We start from the raw sequence: 19,452 nt of genomic DNA on the forward strand, positions 1-19,452 counted from the left end.
AGTCACTCGGAGGCTGAGGCAGGAGAATCGCTTGAACCCAGGAGGCGGAGGTTGCAGTGAGCCGAGATCGCAACACTGCACTCCAGCCCAGGTGACAGAGTGAGACTCTGTCTCAAAAAAACCAAAAAACCAAAGCTCTGCTGTCATGAGCTGATGTTCAGTGTTCTCATGGAGGAGACAAACAATGATCAGATAACTTCCTAGGGTAATAAATGCATAAAGAAAAAGTATAGCAAGGAGCAGCAGTGATCTGGGGACTCAGAGGACTGGTTTAGACCTGATGGGATGGTCGGGAGGCCTCTTGGGAAGGCGCATCTGAGCAGAGATGGGATGAAGTGAGGAGGGAAGCCCTGGGATAGCTGAGTGTGCCTGAGGCACACTCAGGGCCTCATGCTTACCGCAAGGCCTCCGCAATTGCTGTTCGCTCTGCCAGAAGTGTTTTTCCCTAGAGACTACACAACTTACTCCTTTAGGCCTTTGCTTAAATGTGACCTTAGCATGGCCTATTTTTTTTTTTTTTTTTTGAGACAGTCTTGCTCTGTTGTCCAGGCTGGAGTACAGTGGTGTGATCTTGGCTTACTGCAACCTCCACCTCCAAGATTCAAGCGATTCTCCTGCCTCAGCCTCCCCAGTAGCTGGGACTACAGGCGCCCACCACTATGCCCGGCTAAGTTTTGTATTTTTAGTAGAGATGGGGTTTCATCATGTTGGCCAGGCTGGTCTCGAACTCCTGACCTCAAGTGATCTGCCCGCCTCAGCCTCCCAAAGTACTGGGATTACAGGTGTGAGCCACTGTGCCTGGCCAGCATGGCCTTCTATGGTGACTACAGTCAACATATAAAGAAAAGTTGTGAATAGCCAGAAAGATGCTCAGAAATCCCTTAAAGTACACGACACGACACACGCACACACACCACAAGAAAATCCACAAGAAATGCCATCGTGCCTGCCACAAACCTTCACAAAGGCTGGCAATTTTTATAATCTTTAAAATTTTAGAGCCAGGCTCAGTGGCTCACGCCTGTAATTCCAGCACTTTAGGAGGCTGAGACAGGAGCATCACTCGAGGCCAGGAGTTCAAGACCAGCCTAGGTAACATAGTGAGACTCTATCTCTAGGAAAAAAAAAAAAACAAACAGGCCAGGCGTGGTGGTGGGCGCCCATAATCCTAGCTAAATGGGAGGCTGAGGCAGGAGAATCGCTTGAACCCGGGAGGCGGAGATTGCAGTGAGCCGAGATTGAGCCACTGCACTGCAGCCTGGGTGACAGAGCGAGACTCCGTCTCAAAAAAACAAAACAAAACAAAAACAAAAAAACCCCAAACAAAACAAAACAAAACAAAAACAAACATTCTGAGATATCTCAGACCTGGAATCTGTTCCCCCCAATGATCATCCAGGGCAGGAATTTGCTTCCTTCCATAGCTGGTTGCCCAAATTCTGTTAAAATATATTCTGTGATGGGAAGCCTATTCCCTCACCTAACCCAGTATTAGACCTAATTTGCCTCCAGGTGACTTTGGTTTACAAGGTCTGGCTTTACTCCTTGGGGCCACATAACTTGTCTGACCTCGGGGGGATGTGGAAGGAGGGTCTCAAATGTCAGCCTTAGAAGCTTACATATTTAGAAGGCACTGGGGAGCTACAGAAAAGTCTAATGCAAGTGAAGGAAATGGTCTGATTTGTGCTTAGATAAACCCCACAGGGCCAGGCATGGAGGCTCATGCCTGTAATCTCAGCACTTTGGAAGGCCGAGGTGGGAGGATCGCTTTTGCCCAGGAGTTCAGCCTGGGCAACATAGGGAGACCCCATCTCTACCAAAAATAATAAATTAGCCAGGTGTGGTGGCTCATGCTTGTAATCCTAGCTACTTGGGAGGCTGAGGTGGGAGGATCATTTAAGCCCGGGAAGTCGAGGCTGCAGTAAGCTAGGATAATGCCACTGCACCGCAGCCTGGGCAACAGAGACCCCATCTCAAAAAAATAAAGACCTCATAGGCCAGAATGGTCAAGGCTGAGGGAGGCACAGACAGAGGGGTCGGGCAGAATAAAAGAATCATAGGGGGATGTGGGAGCTCAGAGGAGGTGCTTGATGCTTCTGGGGAGTGTTAGGTAGTGCTGCCTGGAGGAGGTGAAGTCTGAATGGTGAAAAAGGAATTAAAGAAGGGAGTGGAGCCGGGCACGTTGGGTCACGCCTGTAATCCCAGCACTTTGGGAGGCCGAGGTGGGCGGATCACGAGGTCAGGAGTTGAAGACCAGCCTGGCCAAGATGGTGAAACCCTGTCTCTACTAAAAATACAAAAATTAGCGAGGCATGGTGGTGCGCACCTGTAATCCCAGCTACTCGGGAGGCTGAGGCAGGAGAATCGCTTGAAACTGGAAGGCGGAGGTTGCAGTGAGTGGAGATGGAGCCGCTGCACTCCAGCTTGGGCAAAGAATAAAACTCCATCTCAAACAATAATAATAAATTAAAAAAAAATAAGGGAGTGGAAAAGACAAATACAGGGAAAAGGAGCCTGGGATGTTCTGCCCAATCTGACCCATGGCGCTGCCTTGCTCAAACGCCACTGTTGTCAGAATTAAGAGAAGAATCTTTAGGCTGTTTTTTTCTCCTCCTCCTCCTCCTTTTCTTTTTTTTTGTAGAAAAGTGTGTCTTGCTGTGTTGCCCAGGCTGGTCTCAAATTCCTGGCCTCAAGCAGTCCCCTGCCTCAGCCTCGGAAAGTACTGGGATTATAGGCGTGAGCCGCTGTGCCCAGCCTGGTCTTCTTTCATTCATTAAAAAATTAACTGCGCAGGGATTAGTGGCTCATGCTTGTAATCCCAGCAATTTGGGAAGCCGAGGTGGGTGGACCACTTGAAGGTCAGGAGTTCGAGACCAGCCTGGCCAACATGGTGAAACCCCGTCTCTACTAAAAATATAAAAAATTAGCCGAGTGTGTTGGTGGGTGCCTGTAATCCCAGCTACTCTGGAGGCTGAGGCAGCAGAATCGCTTGAACCCGGGAGGTGGAGGTTGCAGTGAGCCAAGATCGCACCACTGCACTCCAGCCTGGGCAACAAGAGCAAAACTTCTTCTTCTGAAAAAAACAACAACAGCAACAACAAAAAACAGAGCGCCTACTGTATGCCTGGCTCTGCTGGGCTAGGCTTCGTTGGTTACTATATCTTACTTCTCTGGAAAAAGACATATAAATTGAACCTGTATTTTCCCCTATAATTATTAGCCTCTAAGCACTAAAGTTTTTTACTTTGGGGGGGAAAAAAAAGAAGTTACCCCAGCTCAAGGGTTTTGCCCCATGCCTGGCAGGGAGCAATTATGACCAGAGGGGCTGGGACATCTGCTCCTAATTGGCTTTTCCTGCTGAGGTCCTGGAATACTAAAGGGTTTCTGAAGGGCCCGGGATGTCCCCCCCCCCAGTTCTTCTGGGGTGGGGGAGCGGGTCCCTGTATGTGAAGACGGAATTTCCTGCCCATTTGCTCCTCACACCTTCCGGAGGCCAAACGGGCAGCCCAGCTGCGGCCCGAAGGGGGAGGGGCTCGGCCGCCCGGCAGATGGCGGCATTTACATACAGCTGGGAGCCCCCTCTTGAGGCCGAGCTCCTCGCCCTGGCGTCTGGTGCGTCCGCGATGCGGGGTTTGGGAGGGTGGCTTTGTCTTGCGGAGGGGGAACACACACACGCCTGCACACAGGGGTCCACAAAGAGCCCTGGATCTTCATCGTATCCACACACAGCTACACCCGTGGATCTCCCAAACCCAGTCTCATTCACACAAACCAGCGCACACAGGGGTCTACAAAGAACTCCGGATCTTCATCGTATTCACACGCGGCTGCATCCGTGGACCTCTCAAACCCAGTCTCATTCACACACAGGCGCCCTCAGCCATTCACCACCTTGCACAGCCTCTACCACACCCGCACAGAGCACAAAGTCACAGGTTTATACGCCTATACAGGATCTCCCATAAACACACACGCACAGAGAAGCAGCCACACAGCCACACAATCTCAAAGCGTCACACAATCACGAAGTCGTGTACACTTCTAGTGTCCCACTCGGGTGTGCGTGCAGAATCAGAATTGTTTACAACCTCATAAATGTGTCAATCACACACAACTCCAGGCGTATGCTGAGCCGCACAGTCCCACGTGGACTCACAATGACAAAGTCATGTGCACCCTCCGGTAGCTCTGGTTCATACCACACACACAAAATCTTAAAATCATGTACAACCTCACACACAGGCTTAGCCCCCTAACCCCACCCCACCCTAGCCACACAAAAAGTCGCGGGATCACCCACGCATGACCTCGCTCGTGCCCACGACCACAGACGGAATCTCGCTGTTGCTCCTGCACGCTCCCCCTCCCCTGTGACCGCCCCCCCCGCCCCGCCCTTGGTCCCTTGGGGCCGGGTAGCTGCCTGAAGGGGCGGGGCCATTCTCTCAGATATAAGGCTTGGAAGCCAGCAGCTGCGACTCCCGAGACCCCCCCACCAGAAGGCCATGGTCTCCCCACGGATGTCCGGGCTCCTCTCCCAGACTGTGATCCTAGCGCTCATTTTCCTCCCCCAGGTCAGAGCCAGGTGGGAGGTGGCGTGGAAAGGGATGAATGCGGAGGGGAGGGGTGAGTGCGACCTGAAGGTCCTGGGGAAGGAGCGTGGGGCGGACGGGAAGCCTGGGTCCTCCCGGCCGCCTCACCCTGCGCCCGTCTCCGTCCCAGACACGGCCCGCTGGCGTCTTCGAGCTGCAGATCCACTCTTTCGGGCCGGGTCCAGGCCCTGGGGCCCCGCGGTCCCCCTGCAGCGCCCGGCTCCCCTGCCGCCTCTTCTTCAGAGTCTGCCTGAAGCCTGGGCTCTCAGAGGAGGCCGCCGAGTCCCCGTGCGCCCTGGGCGCGGCGCTGAGTGCGCGCGGACCGGTCTACACCGAGCAGCCCGGAGCGCCCGCGCCTGATCTCCCACTGCCCGACGGCCTCTTGCAGGTGCCCTTCCGGGACGCCTGGCCTGTAAGTGCTGCCCCCGGGGGACTCCCGGTGCTGGAGGCCTAACCCTGCCAGCGAAACCTCCACCTCCTCTCCCCTCCAGCTTCCAAGACCCTAATCCTGCCTCCCAGGGGGTGGACGAAATTCCCAGACCAGTAACTCTACCGTCTGGAACCCCACATTCACAGACCTCTAAACTCTACACACTGGGGATTCTAAATGTTCTGATTCCCCAACCCTGGATGCTGGGACCCCAAATTCCCAGAATTTCAAACCCAAGCTCTGAAATCCTAAACTCAAGGAACCCTACCTCTGCTCCTTGGGGATCCCTAAAAACTGTGGTCCTCATCTTTATCCCCAAACCTCTCACACCTTGTCTTGGGGACCACTAATATCTTCTCTCTCTTTTTTTTTTTTTTTCTGTCCTCAGTTCTTTCAGTTGGGTCCTGTATTAATTACTCTTTCACCTCCAAAATCCTGTCTCCCACCCCCACAACCCAAAGGCACAAAGATGAACAGACCTGTATTGCAATGCTTGACCCTTGTCCTTTTGGACAAGTGACTGCCTGGTTTCCAGCCTCAGTTTCCTAAGCTTAAAAATGGGATCATCCTGGTACCTCACAAGGGTCCCTTTTGAGCGATTCAACCACATCTCTTGAATAAAGTGCTTACCACGTAGTAAGTGCTCAATAAAGCAAGCCACGTCCAGTCGCTCACACTGTAATTCCAGCACTTTGGGAGGTCTAGGCAGGAGGATCTCCTGAGCCCGGCAGTTTGAGACCAGTCTCAGTAACATAGTGAGACCTCGTTTCTAAAAAAAAAAAAAAAACATAGCAGGGCATGGTGACATGCGCGTGTAGTCCCAGCTACTGGGGAGGCTGAGGTGGGAGGATTGCTTGAGCCTCGGAGGTTGTTGCAGTGAGCCAAGATTGCGCCAGTGCACTCCAGCCTGGTTGACAAAGTGAGATTCTCCCCCCCCCCCCAAAAAAAAGCCACAGATGTCATTCCCTCCCTGGGCTGGTCTGGTCCCTCTGGGAATTGTCCCTTGCTTGCTCAGTCCCCAGCAATGGCCATCACCCTCCATTCCTGAACTCTGGCCTTCATTGAGTACTTACCCTAACCACTGTCTTTCATCTTTCATCTCCCCCTTCCTTCACCCAACCAGGGCACCTTCTCTTTCATCATCGAAACCTGGAGAGAGGAGTTAGGAGACCAGATTGGAGGTGAGTGTCTTCAGTCTTGGGACTGGTGGGGAGCTGGGGCCCACGTGAGACACGGGGTTGGTGGTGTTATCTATAGGTCTTATGATGTCATCACAGCTCCTGGGATGTGGTGCTGAGTGTTGACAGCTCCAGGGCTCTTGGCATCTCAGGCACAGAAATGTCCCTGGTACTGGATGTAGCAGTGGTTCTGGTACCAGACGAAGTAGGGGAAGCTCTCTTACTATCAAGGCTCCAGAGCAGAGTGTAGCATTTCACAGCCCTACCTTATCATCTGATGTTGAGAGCTCAGGGTGCGATATGAATTACTTCTGGTTCTTTTATGTGAAGTTTTTTTTTTTTCTTTCCAAGACAGAGTCTTGCTCTGTCGTCCAGGCTGGAGTGCAATGGCATGATCTCAGCTCACTGCAACCTCTGCCTTCTGGGTTCAAGCAATTCTTCTGCCTCAGCCTCCCAAGTAGCTGGGATTACAGGCACCCACCACCACACCTGGCTACTTTTTTTTGTATTTTTAGTAGAGACAGGATTTCACCATGTTGTCCAGGCTGGTCTTGAACTCCTGACCTCGTGATTCACCCACCTTGGCCTCCCAGAGTGTTGAGATTACAGGCATGAGCCACCACGCTCGGCCCCTATGTGAAGCTCTGTCACCTTGTCCATGTGGACATCCCAGGGAGCCCCGTGGGATGTTGGAGCTTCACCAAGGCGAATATTGAGCAGAGGTTCCTGGGAGGGATACAGGGCATTCCTATCCTCAACTTGGGAGACTCTGTTGCTATGTAAGGCCCACAGCGGGGGTTTTGTCACCATTTTTTTTCTTGTTTTTATTTTTTATGGACATGGGATCTTGCTATGTTGCCCAGGCTGGTCTCAAACTCCTAGGCTCAAGCAATCCACAGGCTTTGGCTTCCCAAAACGTTGGGATTATAGGAGTGAGCCACTTCTTCACCGTTCTGATGTAGAAAGCTGTGTCACAATCTTGGGGGGTGACACCTTTGCCTTCAAGAAAGTGTCACTCTCCCAGTATCCCAAGGTCTCAGGTAATGTGGTAACTTATGGTCTAGTAACTGGGGTCTCTGTGACTATTTTGATATAGGAAGATCCAGAGGCACAATTTAGGGGTGTTATGACCTCACTTCAGACATGTTATTGTTCTTTGGCCATATGGAGGTACCAAATGTCACAGGGTGTTAGAGGTCTCATCATTACTTCAATTTACAAAGATCTGGGTCAAGGCCCGGCGCGGTGGCTCACGCCTGTAATCCCAGCACTTTGGGAGGCCGAGGCGGGCGGATCAGGAGGTCAGGAGATTGAGACCATCCTGGCTAACATGGTGAAACCCTGTCTCTACTAAAAATACAAAAAAAATTAGCCGGGCGTGGTGGCAGGCGCCTGTAGTCCCAGCTACTCGGGAGGCTGAGGCAGGAGAATGGCGTGAACCCGGGAGGCGGAGCTGGCAGTGAGCCGAGATCACACCACTACGCTCCAGCCTGGGCGACAGAGTGAGACTCCGTCGCAAAAAACAAACAAAAAAAAAACAAATATCTGGGTCAAAATACAGGAGTATTACGGTTTCTATGAGATAACTGTTTATTTTTTATTTTTATTTTTTTGAGAGGGAGTCTTGCTCTGTCACCCAGGCTGGAGTGCGATGGCCGATCTCGGCTCACTGCAACCTCCACTTCTGGGTGCAAGTGATTCTCCTGCCTCAGCCTCCCGAGTAGATGGGATTACAGGTGCGTGCCACCACGCCTGGCTAATTTTTTTAAAGAATTTTTTATTTTTAGTAGAGACGGTTTCACCATGTTGATCAGGCTGGTCTTGACCTCAGGTGGTCCACCCGTCTCGGCCTCCCAAAGTGCTGGGATTTCAGGCTTGAGCCACCATGCTTGGCTGAGAGAAATGTTACCTAGAGTACTAGAAAGGACCACGACATTGCAGGTCCCAGGGTGCATTGGGGAGTTCGCAGCCTTGCTAAAGTAGAGGGTGACTGCCATTCTACTCGCGAGGTCCAAGGACCCCAGGGCTCCATGAGGGTGTTTTGGCCTCGCTGGGAGGGGCGGGGAGAATGCGGCCGGGGCGCTCCGTATGCATCCATGTTCGGCCGGGCCCACCCCAGCACCCCTCCTTTGCCTGTCCTCGCAGGGCCCGCCTGGAGCCTGCTGGCGCGCGTGGCTGGCAGGCGGCGCTTGGCAGCCGGAGGCCCGTGGGCCCGGGACATTCAGCGCGCAGGCGCCTGGGAGCTGCGCTTCTCGTACCGCGCGCGCTGCGAGCCGCCTGCCGTCGGGACCGCGTGCACGCGCCTCTGCCGTCCGCGCAGCGCCCCCTCGCGGTGCGGTCCGGGACTGCGCCCCTGCGCACCGCTCGAGGACGAATGTGAGGCGCCGCGTGAGTCCTGCGTTCGACCCCACCCCGTCCCAGCCGGGGACCCCGGCCCCTCCTGAGCGTCACTCGCGGCCCCCAGTCCCCTCTCACAACCCACTCACCCTCTTCAGGGTACTCTAGAGTCCCCCACCATGTACCCCAGGCACCCCTCTTCAGGGAGCTGGGGAACGCGCTGACTGCTGCGGATGTATCCCAAACCCCGCCCACCATCCAGCTGCCACCTTCGGAGAAACTGAGGACCCTGGACCTCTCTCCAGCCCTGCCTTGCTACTCGAGCCCCCTTCCCTCTCCCAGCCCTCTTGTTGCCCCAAATCGGAAGCCCACGTCCATTTTCTATGCTGGCACCCTCCAGTTCCTTCCCTAACCCACATTCACACCCTGTCCTGATGCTAGGACTCCAAAGCTCTTCTAATTCTGCGGCCCTCCCGACTCCCACTCGGAAGCTTTGGAATCTCCTCCCAGTCCACTCTGGCCAAGGGGCCCTCCATCCTCCCTCCCTAGGGTTGCAGGCCAGAACCCATGGCTTCTTAAAGCTTGGAATTCTTCAGACTTCTCCCCAAATTTCAGAGCCCCACCAAGGCCCCTAGGACTCCCAGGCTAATCCAGATCTTCTCAGAGCCACCCTAATTCAATACACTCCCATCTTCCCTGAAAGGCCAGGGGTCCCCCCACCAATCCCAAATCCCCTCACTGTCTCCTATCCTCACGATCTCACCTGGGTGCCCCTGTCCCATCCTCTTTCCAAGAGCACAGACTCCAGCCCGATGGCCTGGGTTCACATCATCACTCCTCCACTTCCTAGGTGGGCTGGTCACCTCGTCTCTGTGGGCCTCAGTTTCCCTATCTGTAAACTGGGGGGGCGGTCACAGTACCATCTAGTCCCGATGATTATCTGTCACAAAGATGAAGCAAGGTGGCTCAGGGAACGTGCTCAGAAACCTCCCTGCTTTCCATCTTGTCCCTGGCCCTCCCCGACGTTGGTGTTCCCTTTCTCTCTGCCTCTCTGTCCCCCATAGTGGTGTGCCGAGCAGGCTGCAGCCCTGAGCATGGCTTCTGTGAACAGCCCGGTGAATGCCGATGCCTAGAGGGCTGGACTGGACCCCTCTGCACGGTCCCTGTCTCCACCAGCAGCTGCCTCAGCCCCAGGGGCCCGTCCTCTGCTACCACCGGATGCCTTGTCCCTGGGCCTGGGCCCTGTGACGGGAACCCGTGTGCCAATGGAGGCAGCTGTAGTGTCAGTGTCACCCTTCCCACCTTGTCCTGCTTAGTACTTTACCCTGGGAGCCACAGCCCTCTCCCTGGGGCTCCATGAGACACCAGCCTGGGGAGGAGATCTGGGAATAACTATCAGGGAGGTCTTCCTGGAGGCATCCAGCCGGCATCTGGGGCCTTGAAGTAGGATTAGGTGATGGGGATGGGACTGGGGAGAGCAGGCTCAGTGGGTGGCCCCGAAAGATGCAGGAGTGGAAATGATGAGGAGCCGTGTGGGGCCACAGCTGCCCCTACTGCGGGACTGAGAACGATTCAGGGCCCAAGGTAGTGGGTGGTGGGGCCAAATAGGTTGGAGATTTGGGATCTGCGGGCACAGGGGGTGGAGACATCAGAGAAGGCTTCCTGGAGGTGGCCCGGGGCTGGGGCTTCTGGGACGTGATTAGAGAGGGTGGCCAGGTGAGTGGCCTGCAGGGAGCAAGGGTGCAGAGGTGGCAGTGAGTGAGCCTGGCATGGAGTGCTGGGATAGAGTAGGGTCCAGTGTGGGCCACCTGGATACTGCCACACTCAGGGTTCAAATACTTAGGGAGAGGCCCTGGGAAGGAGAGATCCAGAGAAGCCTTCCTGGAGGAGGTGGGCTGAGATCTAGGACCTCCCAGTAGGACTCGTCAGTGTAGACAGAAGCGAGCAGGGCAGACCAGGCAGGCAGCATTTGGTAGGCAAAGATGTAGGGGTGGGAATGGGGTCACTCTGGGTCCCCAGAGCCTCCTCCCTCTGGGGTCACATGGGCAGACAGAAGAATGTGGAGTGGATCGAGGGGATGTCGGGAGGACCTCCCAGGGTGGCCCCTGCATAGTGGGACTTGAGACTGGACAAGGAGCAGCCCCCAGTGGTTAGGACTGAGGAGGGGGATGGGATTTTTCTCCAAGGAAACACCCTTCTCAAGTACTCTTGTCCCTGCCCAGGAGACACCCAGGTCCTTTGAATGCACCTGCCCGCGTGGGTTCTACGGGCTGCGGTGTGAGGTGAGCGGGGTGACATGTGCAGATGGACCCTGCTTCAACGGCGGCTTGTGTGTCGGGGGTGCAGACCCTGACTCTGCCTACATCTGCCACTGCCCACCCGGTTTCCAAGGCTCCAACTGTGAGAAGAGGGTGGACCGGTGCAGCCTGCAGCCATGCCGCAATGGTGAGGCCTGGAGGCCTGAACGGCGAGGGATGGGGTGGGGGTCCTGGATGGCTCAGACAGTCCAGGGTTGGAATCCTGGCTTTGACTCTTCTAACCCTAGGGCCTGGGGACCTGACCTTCCACCTGCAAGCCTGTAAAATGGGCAAGGAGACATTCCCTATCTCATAACTATTAATATTTACTGAGAATTTACTGTGTGCCAGGCCCTATTCTAGGCACTGAGGATACAGCAGGGAATGAAACAGACAAAGTCCCTGGCCCTGCCTGATAGAGCTGAGGTGCCTGGTGTGCTGAGGATAAGCAGGGAAGCCAGTGTGGTTATACTGAGATGAGGTCAGGGAGGTGACTGAGGCACATCTTGTGGGACCCCCTGGGTCACAAGAAGGGGAACTTTCACTTTTCCCCTGAGTGAGATGGAGCCACAGGAAGGTTCTGAGGAGAGAAGAGACCTGATATCGGTGCTAAAAGATTAAATGCGGCCCGGCACGGCGACTCACGCCTGTAATTCCAGCACTTTGGGAGGCCGAGGCGGGCAGATCACCTGAGCTCAGGAGTTGGAGACCAGCCCGGGCCACATGGTGAAACCCCGTCTCTACTAAAAATACAAAAAATTAGCCGGGCGTGATGGCAGGTGCTTGTAATCCCAGCTACTCGGGAGGCTAAGGCGGAAGAATCACTTGAACCCGGGAGGCGGAGGTTGCAGTGAGCCGAGATCATGCCACTGCGCTCCCGCCTGGGCGACAGAGTGACACTCTGTCTCAAAAAAAAAAAAAAAAAAAAAAAAAAAAAAGATTAAGTAAGATCATGAATGTAGGCTGAAGCAGAGAATTGCTTGAACTCGGGAGGCGGAGGTTGCAGTGAGCCGAGATCGCGCCACTGCACTCCAGCCTGGACGACAGAGCGAGACTCCGTTTCGAAAAAAAAAAAAAAAAAGATCATGAATGTAAAGGGCTGGCTGTGTATCTTCTTGCGAGTGAATACAATAATTCTCTCCCAAACACTGAGTGTTCATTCTGGGGTGTGTGGTACTAGGGACTCAGCACCGACCAGGACATCTCTGGGCCGCACCCTCCTGGGGGAACCAGCCCAGAGGGGAAGACAGACACCCTCAGACAGAGCCCAGGGTGGGTGGTCAGGGCTGTGATGTAGGAGCACAGGGCAGTGATCAGGGCTGGGATGGAGGAAGGAGCATCGGAGTAGAAACCTGAGGGGTGGGCTAGGGAAGAGAAAAGGTGGGAAAAAATGTGAGAAAAGGAGGAAGGGAAGAGAGGAGGGGTATTCTAGGCAGAGGAAGGCCAGAGGGTTCAAACACGTAGTTCTGGGAGCTGTCTACTATTGAAGTATGATCGAAGCCGAAGGAAAAAGAGACAAGGGCACCGAGAGCCAAAGAGGTGGAGCTGAATTAATTATTCCAAAACTTCATTAGGAAGAAAAGCGAGCTGGCTTTCCTGGCACACTCCAAGACGCTGGCCCTTAAGTTAGAGAGAAAAAGGGGACCCCGTGCAGCGATGACAGAGCTGGGAAACAGCGCGGGCAGGTGGGTCCCCGGCTCCCGGACTGCGCCCTCTGATGCTCCCTTCCCCACAGGCGGACTCTGCCTGGACCTGGGCCACGCCCTGCGCTGCCGCTGCCGCGCCGGCTTCGCGGGTCCTCGCTGCGAGCACGACCTGGACGACTGCGCGGGCCGCGCCTGCGCTAACGGCGGCACGTGTGTGGAGGGCGGCGGCGCGCACCGCTGCTCCTGCGCGCTGGGCTTCGGCGGCCGCGACTGCCGCGAGCGCGCGGACCCGTGCGCCGCGCGCCCCTGTGCTCACGGCGGCCGCTGCTACGCCCACTTCTCCGGCCTCGTCTGCGCTTGCGCTCCCGGCTACATGGGAGCGCGGTGTGAGTTCCCAGTGCACCCCGACGGCGCAAGCGCCTTGCCCGCGGCCCCGCCGGGCCTCAGGCCCGGGGACCCTCAGCGCTACCTTTTGCCTCCGGCTCTGGGACTGCTCGTGGCCGCGGGCGTGGCCGGCGCTGCGCTCTTGCTGGTCCACGTGCGCCGCCGTGGCCACTCCCAGGATGCTGGGTCTCGCTTGCTGGCTGGGACCCCGGAGCCGTCAGTCCACGCACTCCCGGATGCACTCAACAACCTAAGGACGCAGGAGGGTTCCGGGGATGGTCCGAGGTGAGGGGCTGCGCCACAGACGAACGCCTTGCGCTGCTGGCTGCTTTTACCCATCTCCGTGGTGCAGTTGGCCCGATTCCTTGATGCATTTCCCTGGTCGGTCTCTCTTACCCCGGTAGCTGGTTTTGGGTTCCCCTTTGTGATGGGTAGGGGAAAACAAGATCTGAGAATTTAAAGAGTCTGAGTTTTTCTTCTTTCTCTCCTCCCACAGCTCGTCCGTAGATTGGAATCGCCCTGAAGATGTAGACCCTCAAGGGATTTATGTCATATCTGCTCCTTCCATCTACGCTCGGGAGGTAGCGACGCCCCTTTTCCCCCCGCTACACACTGGGCGCGCTGGGCAGAGGCAGCACCTGCTTTTTCCCTACCCTTCCTCGATTCTGTCCGTGAAATGAATTGGGTAGAGTCTCTGGAAGGTTTTAAGCCCATTTTCAGTTCTAACTTACTTTCATCCTATTTTGCATCCCTCTTATCGTTTTGAGCTACCTGCCATCTTCTCTTTGAAAAACCTATGGGCTTGAGGAGGTCACGATGCCGACTCCGCCAGAGCTTTTCCACTGATTGTACTCAGCGGGGAGGCAGGGGAGGCAGAGGGGCAGCCTCTCTAATGCTTCCTACTCATTTTGTTTCTAGGCCTGACGCGTCTCCTCCATCCGCACCTGGAGTCAGAGCGTGGATTTTTGTATTTGCTCGGTGGTGCCCAGTCTCTGCCCCAGAGGCTTTGGAGTTCAATCTTGAAGGGGTGTCTGGGGGAACTTTACTGTTGCAAGTTGTAAATAATGGTTATTTATATCCTATTTTTTCTCACCCCATCTCTCTAGAAACACCTATAAAGGCTATTATTGTGATCAGTTTTGACTAACGAGGCTGAATGCTTTGTATTTGATGTTGGGGCTGAGGGGAAGAGATTTTGTCTCCTGAGGAGAATAGTAGACAGGACTCTTTATGTTGTAGGGGTCGGAAACGACTCAAACTGCTTTAAATATAAAAGAATTTATGGCTGGGTGCAGTGGCTCACGGCTGTAATCCCACTGAACCACTGAGTGAGATCAGTGCTGAAGCAGGAGGATTGCTTGAGGCTGGGAGTTGGAGAGCAGCTGGGCAACACAGCGAGACCCCTATACGAAAAATTAAAACAAAATTAGCCAGGCCTGGTGGCGCACCTGTAGTTCTACATACTTGTGAGGCTGAGGCCGGGAGGATCGCCTCAGCTCAGGAGTTTGAGGCTGCAGTGAGCTATGATCACACCACTGCACTAAAGCCTGGGCAATACAGCAAGATCCTGTCTCTTTAAAAAAAAATGTATTAGTGGCCGGGCGTGGTGGCTCACCCCTGTAATCCCAGCACTTTGGGAGGCTGAGGTGGGTGGATCACCTGAGGTCGGGAGTTGGAGACTAGCCTGGCCAGCATGGCAGAACCTCATCTCTACTAAAAAATACAAAAATTAGCTGGGTGCAGCGGCAGGCACCTGTAATCTCAGCTACTCAGGAGGCTGAGAACTGCTTGAACTCGGGAAGTGGAGGTTGCAGTGAGCCGAGATTGTGCCATTGCATTCTAGCCTTGGAGACAGAACAAGACTCTGTCTCAAAAAAAACAAAAACAAAAAACGCATTAGCTCATAAAATGGAAAAATCCTAGGGGTAGATATGGTTTCCAGCAGCAATGGACTGGGGCTCTTGGTCTTTCTCCAGTTGCCTCTTCTTACCCCTTGATTGATTTCACTGTGGGGAATCTCTCATTGGCCCTGGCTCGTTGGTAGGCCCTCCTAAACCAGTCTCCAGGCAGTATGGCTTCCTCTGATTTGGCCAGGCTTGCTTATTGCCTGTTGTGTGGTAGGGAGTGACGTCAGCCTGCCCAGATCACATGGAATATATAGGTGATGGGGTGTCCCTGCTCCCCTCAGATCAGTTTGTTCCCAGAAATGAGTACTGTGTCAGGCAGGCAAACTGACAGACCATCTTACAAGAAATAAGGAAACTCCTTAGTCTGAAAGCAGGTAACCTCAGACAGTAATTCAAATTTACACCAAAAACCAAAGAGCAGGCTGGGTGCGGTGGCTCATGCCTGTAATCCCAGCACTTTGGGAAGCTGAGGCGGGTGGATCACCTGAAGTCAGGAGTTTGAGACCAGTCTGGCCACATGGTGAAACCCTGTCTCTACTAAAAATACAAAAATTAGCCAGGCATGGTGGCGGGTACCTGTAATCCCAGCTACTTGGGAGGCTGAGGCAGGAGAATCAATTGAACCTGGGAGGCGGAGGTTGCAGTGAGCCGAGATCACTCCATTGCACTCCAGCCTGGGTGACAGAGTGAGACTCTGTCTCAAAAAAAAAAAAAAAAAAAGCACCCGTGACAGTAATTATGTAATTATAAGGATTACAGTGGGCTGGGAGCGGTGGCTCACGCCTATAATCCCAGCACTTTGGGAGGCCTAGGCGGGCGTATCACCTGAGGTCAGGAGTTCGAGACCAGCCTGGCCAACATGGTGAAACCCTGTCTCTACTTAAAATACAAAACATTAGCCGGGCATGGTGGTACGCATCTGTAATCTCAGCTACTCGGGAGGCTGAGGCAGGAGAATCGCTTGAACCTGGGAGATGGAGGTTGCAGTGAGCCGAGATCGCACCATTGTATTCCAGCCTGGGGGACAAGAGTGAGACTTCATCTCAAAAAAAAAAAAGATTATGGTAGCCCTCCGTAATCCTTGAAGCATACGTTCCAAGACTCACAGTGGATGCCTGAAGCTGCTGATAGTACCGAATGCAATCTGAACACATTTCTGTTTATGTCTTCTACCTACAAGCTGAATGCCTTTCCCATCTTGACTGAGCATTTATCACACCCTGTGGCCTTGGAAACTTTGGCAGTTTGAGGTATGACAGTGAAACTAGCATGAATTTCCTTCTCTTTCTTCACAATTTGATGGCTAGAATATTCACCTTTTTTTTTTTTTTTTTTTTTTTTTTTTTTTTTTTTGAGACAGAGTTTCACTCTTGTTGCCCAGGTTGGAGTGCAGTGATGCAATCTTGGCTCACTGCAACCTCCGCCTCCTGGGTTCAAGCAATTCTCCTGTCTCAGCCTCCCAAGTAGCTGGGATTACAGGCATGCGCCACCACACCCGGCTAATTTTGTATTTTTAGTAGAGATGGGGTTTCTCCATGTTGGTCAGCCTGGTCTTGAACTCCTGACCTCAGGTGATCCGCCTGCCTCGGTCTCCCAAAGTGCTGGGATTACAGGCATGAGCCACCGAGCCTGGCCTAGAAGATTCATCTTAAGGCCAGGCATGGTGGCTCACACCTGTAATTCCAGAATTTTGGGAAGTTGAGGCAGGAGACTCACTTGAGCCCAGGAGTTCGAGACCAGCATGGGCAACATGGCAAAACCCTATCTCTACAAAAAAAATTGAAAAAATCAGCCAAGTGTGGTGTCATTCACCCGTAGTCCCAGCTACTTGGGAGGCTGAGCTGGGAGGATTGCTTGAGCCTAGGTGGTTGAGGCTGCAGTGAGCTGTGGTGGTGCCACTGTACTCCACCCTGGGTGGCAGAGTGAGACTGTGTCTCAAAAAAATAAAATAAAAAGGGCTGGTCACAATGGCTCATGCCTGTAATCCCAGCACTTTTGGAGGCCAAGGTGTGTGGATCACCTGAGGTCAGGAGTTTGAGACCAGCCTGACCAATATGGTGAAACCCTGTCTCTACTAAAAATACAAAAACTAGCTGGGCATGGTGGCAGGCACCTGTAGTCCCAGTTACTTGGGAGGCTGAGACAGGAGAATCGCTTGAACCCGGGAGGTGGAGGTTGCAGTGAGCCGAGATCATGCCACTGCACTCCAGCCTGGGTGACAGAGCGAGACTCCATCTCAGAAAAAAAAAAAGGAAATAGCTGAGGCTTCTGAGGCTTTGTAATTTATAAAGAAAAGAGGTTTATTTTGGCTCATGGCTCTGTAGGCTATACAGGAAGCACAGTGCTGGCATCTGCTTCTGCTGAGGCCTCAGGAAGCTTCCAATCATGATACAAGGTGAAGGGGGAGCAAGCACATCACATGGCAAGGGAGGGAGTGAGAGGGGGGTGCCAGGCTCTTTTATTTATTTATTTATTTGGTACAGAGCCTCCCTCTGTTGCTCAGGCTGAAGTGCAGTGGCACAATCTCGGCTCACTGCAACCTCCACCTCCCAGATTCAAGCAATTCCCCTGTTTCAGCCCCCCAAGTAGCTGGGACTACAGGTGTGTGCCACCATACCAGCTAATTTTTTTTGGCATTTTTAGTAGAGACAGGGTTTCACCACTTTGGCCAGGCTGGTCTCGAACTCCTGACCTCAAGCAATCTGCCTGCCTTGGCTTTCCGAAGTTCTGGGATTACAGAAGTGAGCTACCACGCCCAGTCTCAGGCTCTTTTTTTTTTTTTTTTTTTTTTTTTTTGAGACAGAGTCTTGCTCTGTCACCCAAGCTGTAGTGCAGTGGCACGATGATCTTGGCTCACTGCAAGCTCCGCCTCCTGGATTCATCCATTCTCCATCTCAGGCTCTTTTAAACAACCAGCTCTCGAGGGAACAAGGGAACTCACAGAGCGAGAACTCACTCATTACTGTGGGGAGGGCACCAAGACCTTCTTGAGGGTTTCGCTTCGAAACACCTCCCACCAGGCCCACCTCCAACATTGGCGGTCATTTCAACATGAGATTTGGAGGGGAAAAATATCCACACCAAATCAATACCCATATAAGAAGCCAGAGGCTGGGCACGGTGGCTCATGCCTGTAATCTCAACACTTTGGGAGGCTGAGGCGGGTGGATCACTTGAGGCCAGGAATTTGAGACCAACCTGACCGACATGGTGAAACCAACCCCGTCTCTACAAAAACATACAAAAATTAGCCAGACATAGTGGCGCTCACCTGTAATCCCAGTTACTTGGGTGGTGGAGGCACAAAAATCGCTTGACCCCAGGAGGCAGAGGTTGAAGTTAGCCGAGATCGTGCCAATACACTCCAGCATGGGTGACAGAGCAAGACTCTGTCTCAAAAAAAAAAAAAAAAAATGGCCAGGCGCGGTGGGTCACAGTGGCGGACCACCTGAGGTCAGGAGTTCAAGACGAGCTTGGCCAATGTGGTGAAACCCCATCTCTACAAAAATACAAAAATTAGCTGGGCATGATGGCAGTGCCTGTAATCCCAGCTACTCAGGAGGCTGAGGTGGGATAATTGCTTGAACCTGAGAGGTGGGGGTTGCGGTGAGCTGAGATTGTGCCATTGCACTCCAGCCTGGGTGACAGAGCAAGACTCCGTCTCAAAAAAAAAAAAAAAAAAAAAAGCCAGAGAGCTAGCTGGCTCTCTTCCTGCCATGTGAGGCTGCAAGAAGTTGGTGGTCTGCAACTTGCAAGAGGTCCCTCCCTAGAACCCAACCTTCTGGCACCGTGATCACAGACTTCCAATCTCCAGACCTATGAGAAATAAATGTTTAAGCCAGTTTATAGTATTTTTTTTAATAACAGCCTGAGCCAACTAAGAGAGTTGGGTTTTGCTGCAATAACAAATTTCCCTCAAATCTTACTGACTTACACAATCACAGGTTTCTTTTTTGTTCATGGCACACATCCAGGCCACCAGGCTTTTCGTTTTTGTTCAAGAGACATAGTCTTGCTCTTGTTCTGTCACCCAGTCTAGAGTGCAGTGGTGTGATCATAGCTCATGGCAGCCTCAGTCTTCTGGGCTCAAGTGATCCTCCTGCCTCAGCCTCCTGAGTAGCTGGAACTGTGGGTGCATACCAGCATACCTAGCTAAGTTTCAAGTTTTTTGTAGAGAGGGGTTCCTGGTATGTTGTCCAGTCTGGTCTTGAACCCCTGGGCTCAAGCAGTCCCCCTGGGCTCAAGCAGTCCTCTTGGTTTGGTCTCCAGAAGTGCTGCAATTACAGGCAGGGTTTTACCATGTTGGCCAGGCTGATCGTGAACTCCTGACCTCAGGTGATCCACCGGCTTGCTCTCCCAAAGTGTTGGAATTACCGGCGTGAGCCACCGCTCCCCATCAGGGGCTTTTTTTTTTTTTTTTTTTTTTAAATCAGTCTCTAACACTGGAACACTTTTCTGCTTCGGAAGTAAAACCATCAGGCTGTTAGACACAGACACCCCTCTCTTGGCTTCCTTCAAATTACTGAAAACAAGTCTCTCCACCCCCTACCGTACCAACCAACCAACCAAAGACTGGCCAGCACATGCTGTAGTCTCAGAACTTTGGGAGGCCAAGGTGGGAGGATTGCTTGAGCCTAGGAGGTCGAGGCTGCAGTGAGCTGTGATTGCACCACTGTGCTCCAGC

General features: G+C 53.4%; 1 protein-coding gene across 2 annotated transcripts, besides 5 other annotated features; it reads left to right on the top strand.

Moving 5' to 3' along the window:
- Window positions 3,179-4,171: an enhancer, noted in NCBI's record as "H3K4me1 hESC enhancer chr19:39988291-39989283 (GRCh37/hg19 assembly coordinates)". NCBI's record gives its function as "activates a minimal SCP1, AML or CMV promoter by ChIP-STARR-seq in naive H9 embryonic stem cells {active_cell/tissue: H9 hESC(naive)}" and the evidence as "EXISTENCE:reporter gene assay evidence [ECO:0000049][PMID:30033119]".
- Window positions 3,795-3,854: a silencer, noted in NCBI's record as "silent region_10607". NCBI's record gives its function as "represses an Ori minimal core promoter by ATAC-STARR-seq in GM12878 lymphoblastoid cells {active_cell/tissue: GM12878}" and the evidence as "EXISTENCE:reporter gene assay evidence [ECO:0000049][PMID:35858748]".
- Window positions 4,475-13,997, top strand: DLL3 (delta like canonical Notch ligand 3). Of its 2 annotated transcripts, NM_203486.3 has the most exons (9): window positions 4,475-4,571; window positions 4,720-5,001; window positions 6,143-6,200; window positions 8,343-8,585; window positions 9,599-9,816; window positions 10,757-10,979; window positions 12,567-13,146; window positions 13,358-13,442; window positions 13,780-13,997. In NM_203486.3, exons 1-9 carry the CDS (start codon window positions 4,503-4,505, stop codon window positions 13,783-13,785), a joined length of 1,764 nt encoding a protein of 587 aa, NP_982353.1. In that variant the 5' UTR covers window positions 4,475-4,502; the 3' UTR covers window positions 13,786-13,997. The 2 variants fall into 2 exon arrangements, with proteins under 2 accessions (NP_982353.1, NP_058637.1); NM_016941.4 differs by having other exon boundaries at window positions 13,358-13,997.
- Window positions 8,246-8,625: a silencer, noted in NCBI's record as "silent region_10608". NCBI's record gives its function as "represses an Ori minimal core promoter by ATAC-STARR-seq in GM12878 lymphoblastoid cells {active_cell/tissue: GM12878}" and the evidence as "EXISTENCE:reporter gene assay evidence [ECO:0000049][PMID:35858748]".
- Window positions 12,669-12,768: a silencer, noted in NCBI's record as "silent region_10609". NCBI's record gives its function as "represses an Ori minimal core promoter by ATAC-STARR-seq in GM12878 lymphoblastoid cells {active_cell/tissue: GM12878}" and the evidence as "EXISTENCE:reporter gene assay evidence [ECO:0000049][PMID:35858748]".
- Window positions 12,949-13,098: a silencer, noted in NCBI's record as "silent region_10610". NCBI's record gives its function as "represses an Ori minimal core promoter by ATAC-STARR-seq in GM12878 lymphoblastoid cells {active_cell/tissue: GM12878}" and the evidence as "EXISTENCE:reporter gene assay evidence [ECO:0000049][PMID:35858748]".

This window comes from Homo sapiens, chromosome 19, assembly GCF_000001405.40.
Source record: "Homo sapiens chromosome 19, GRCh38.p14 Primary Assembly".
Taxonomy (NCBI): Eukaryota; Metazoa; Chordata; class Mammalia; order Primates; family Hominidae; genus Homo; species Homo sapiens.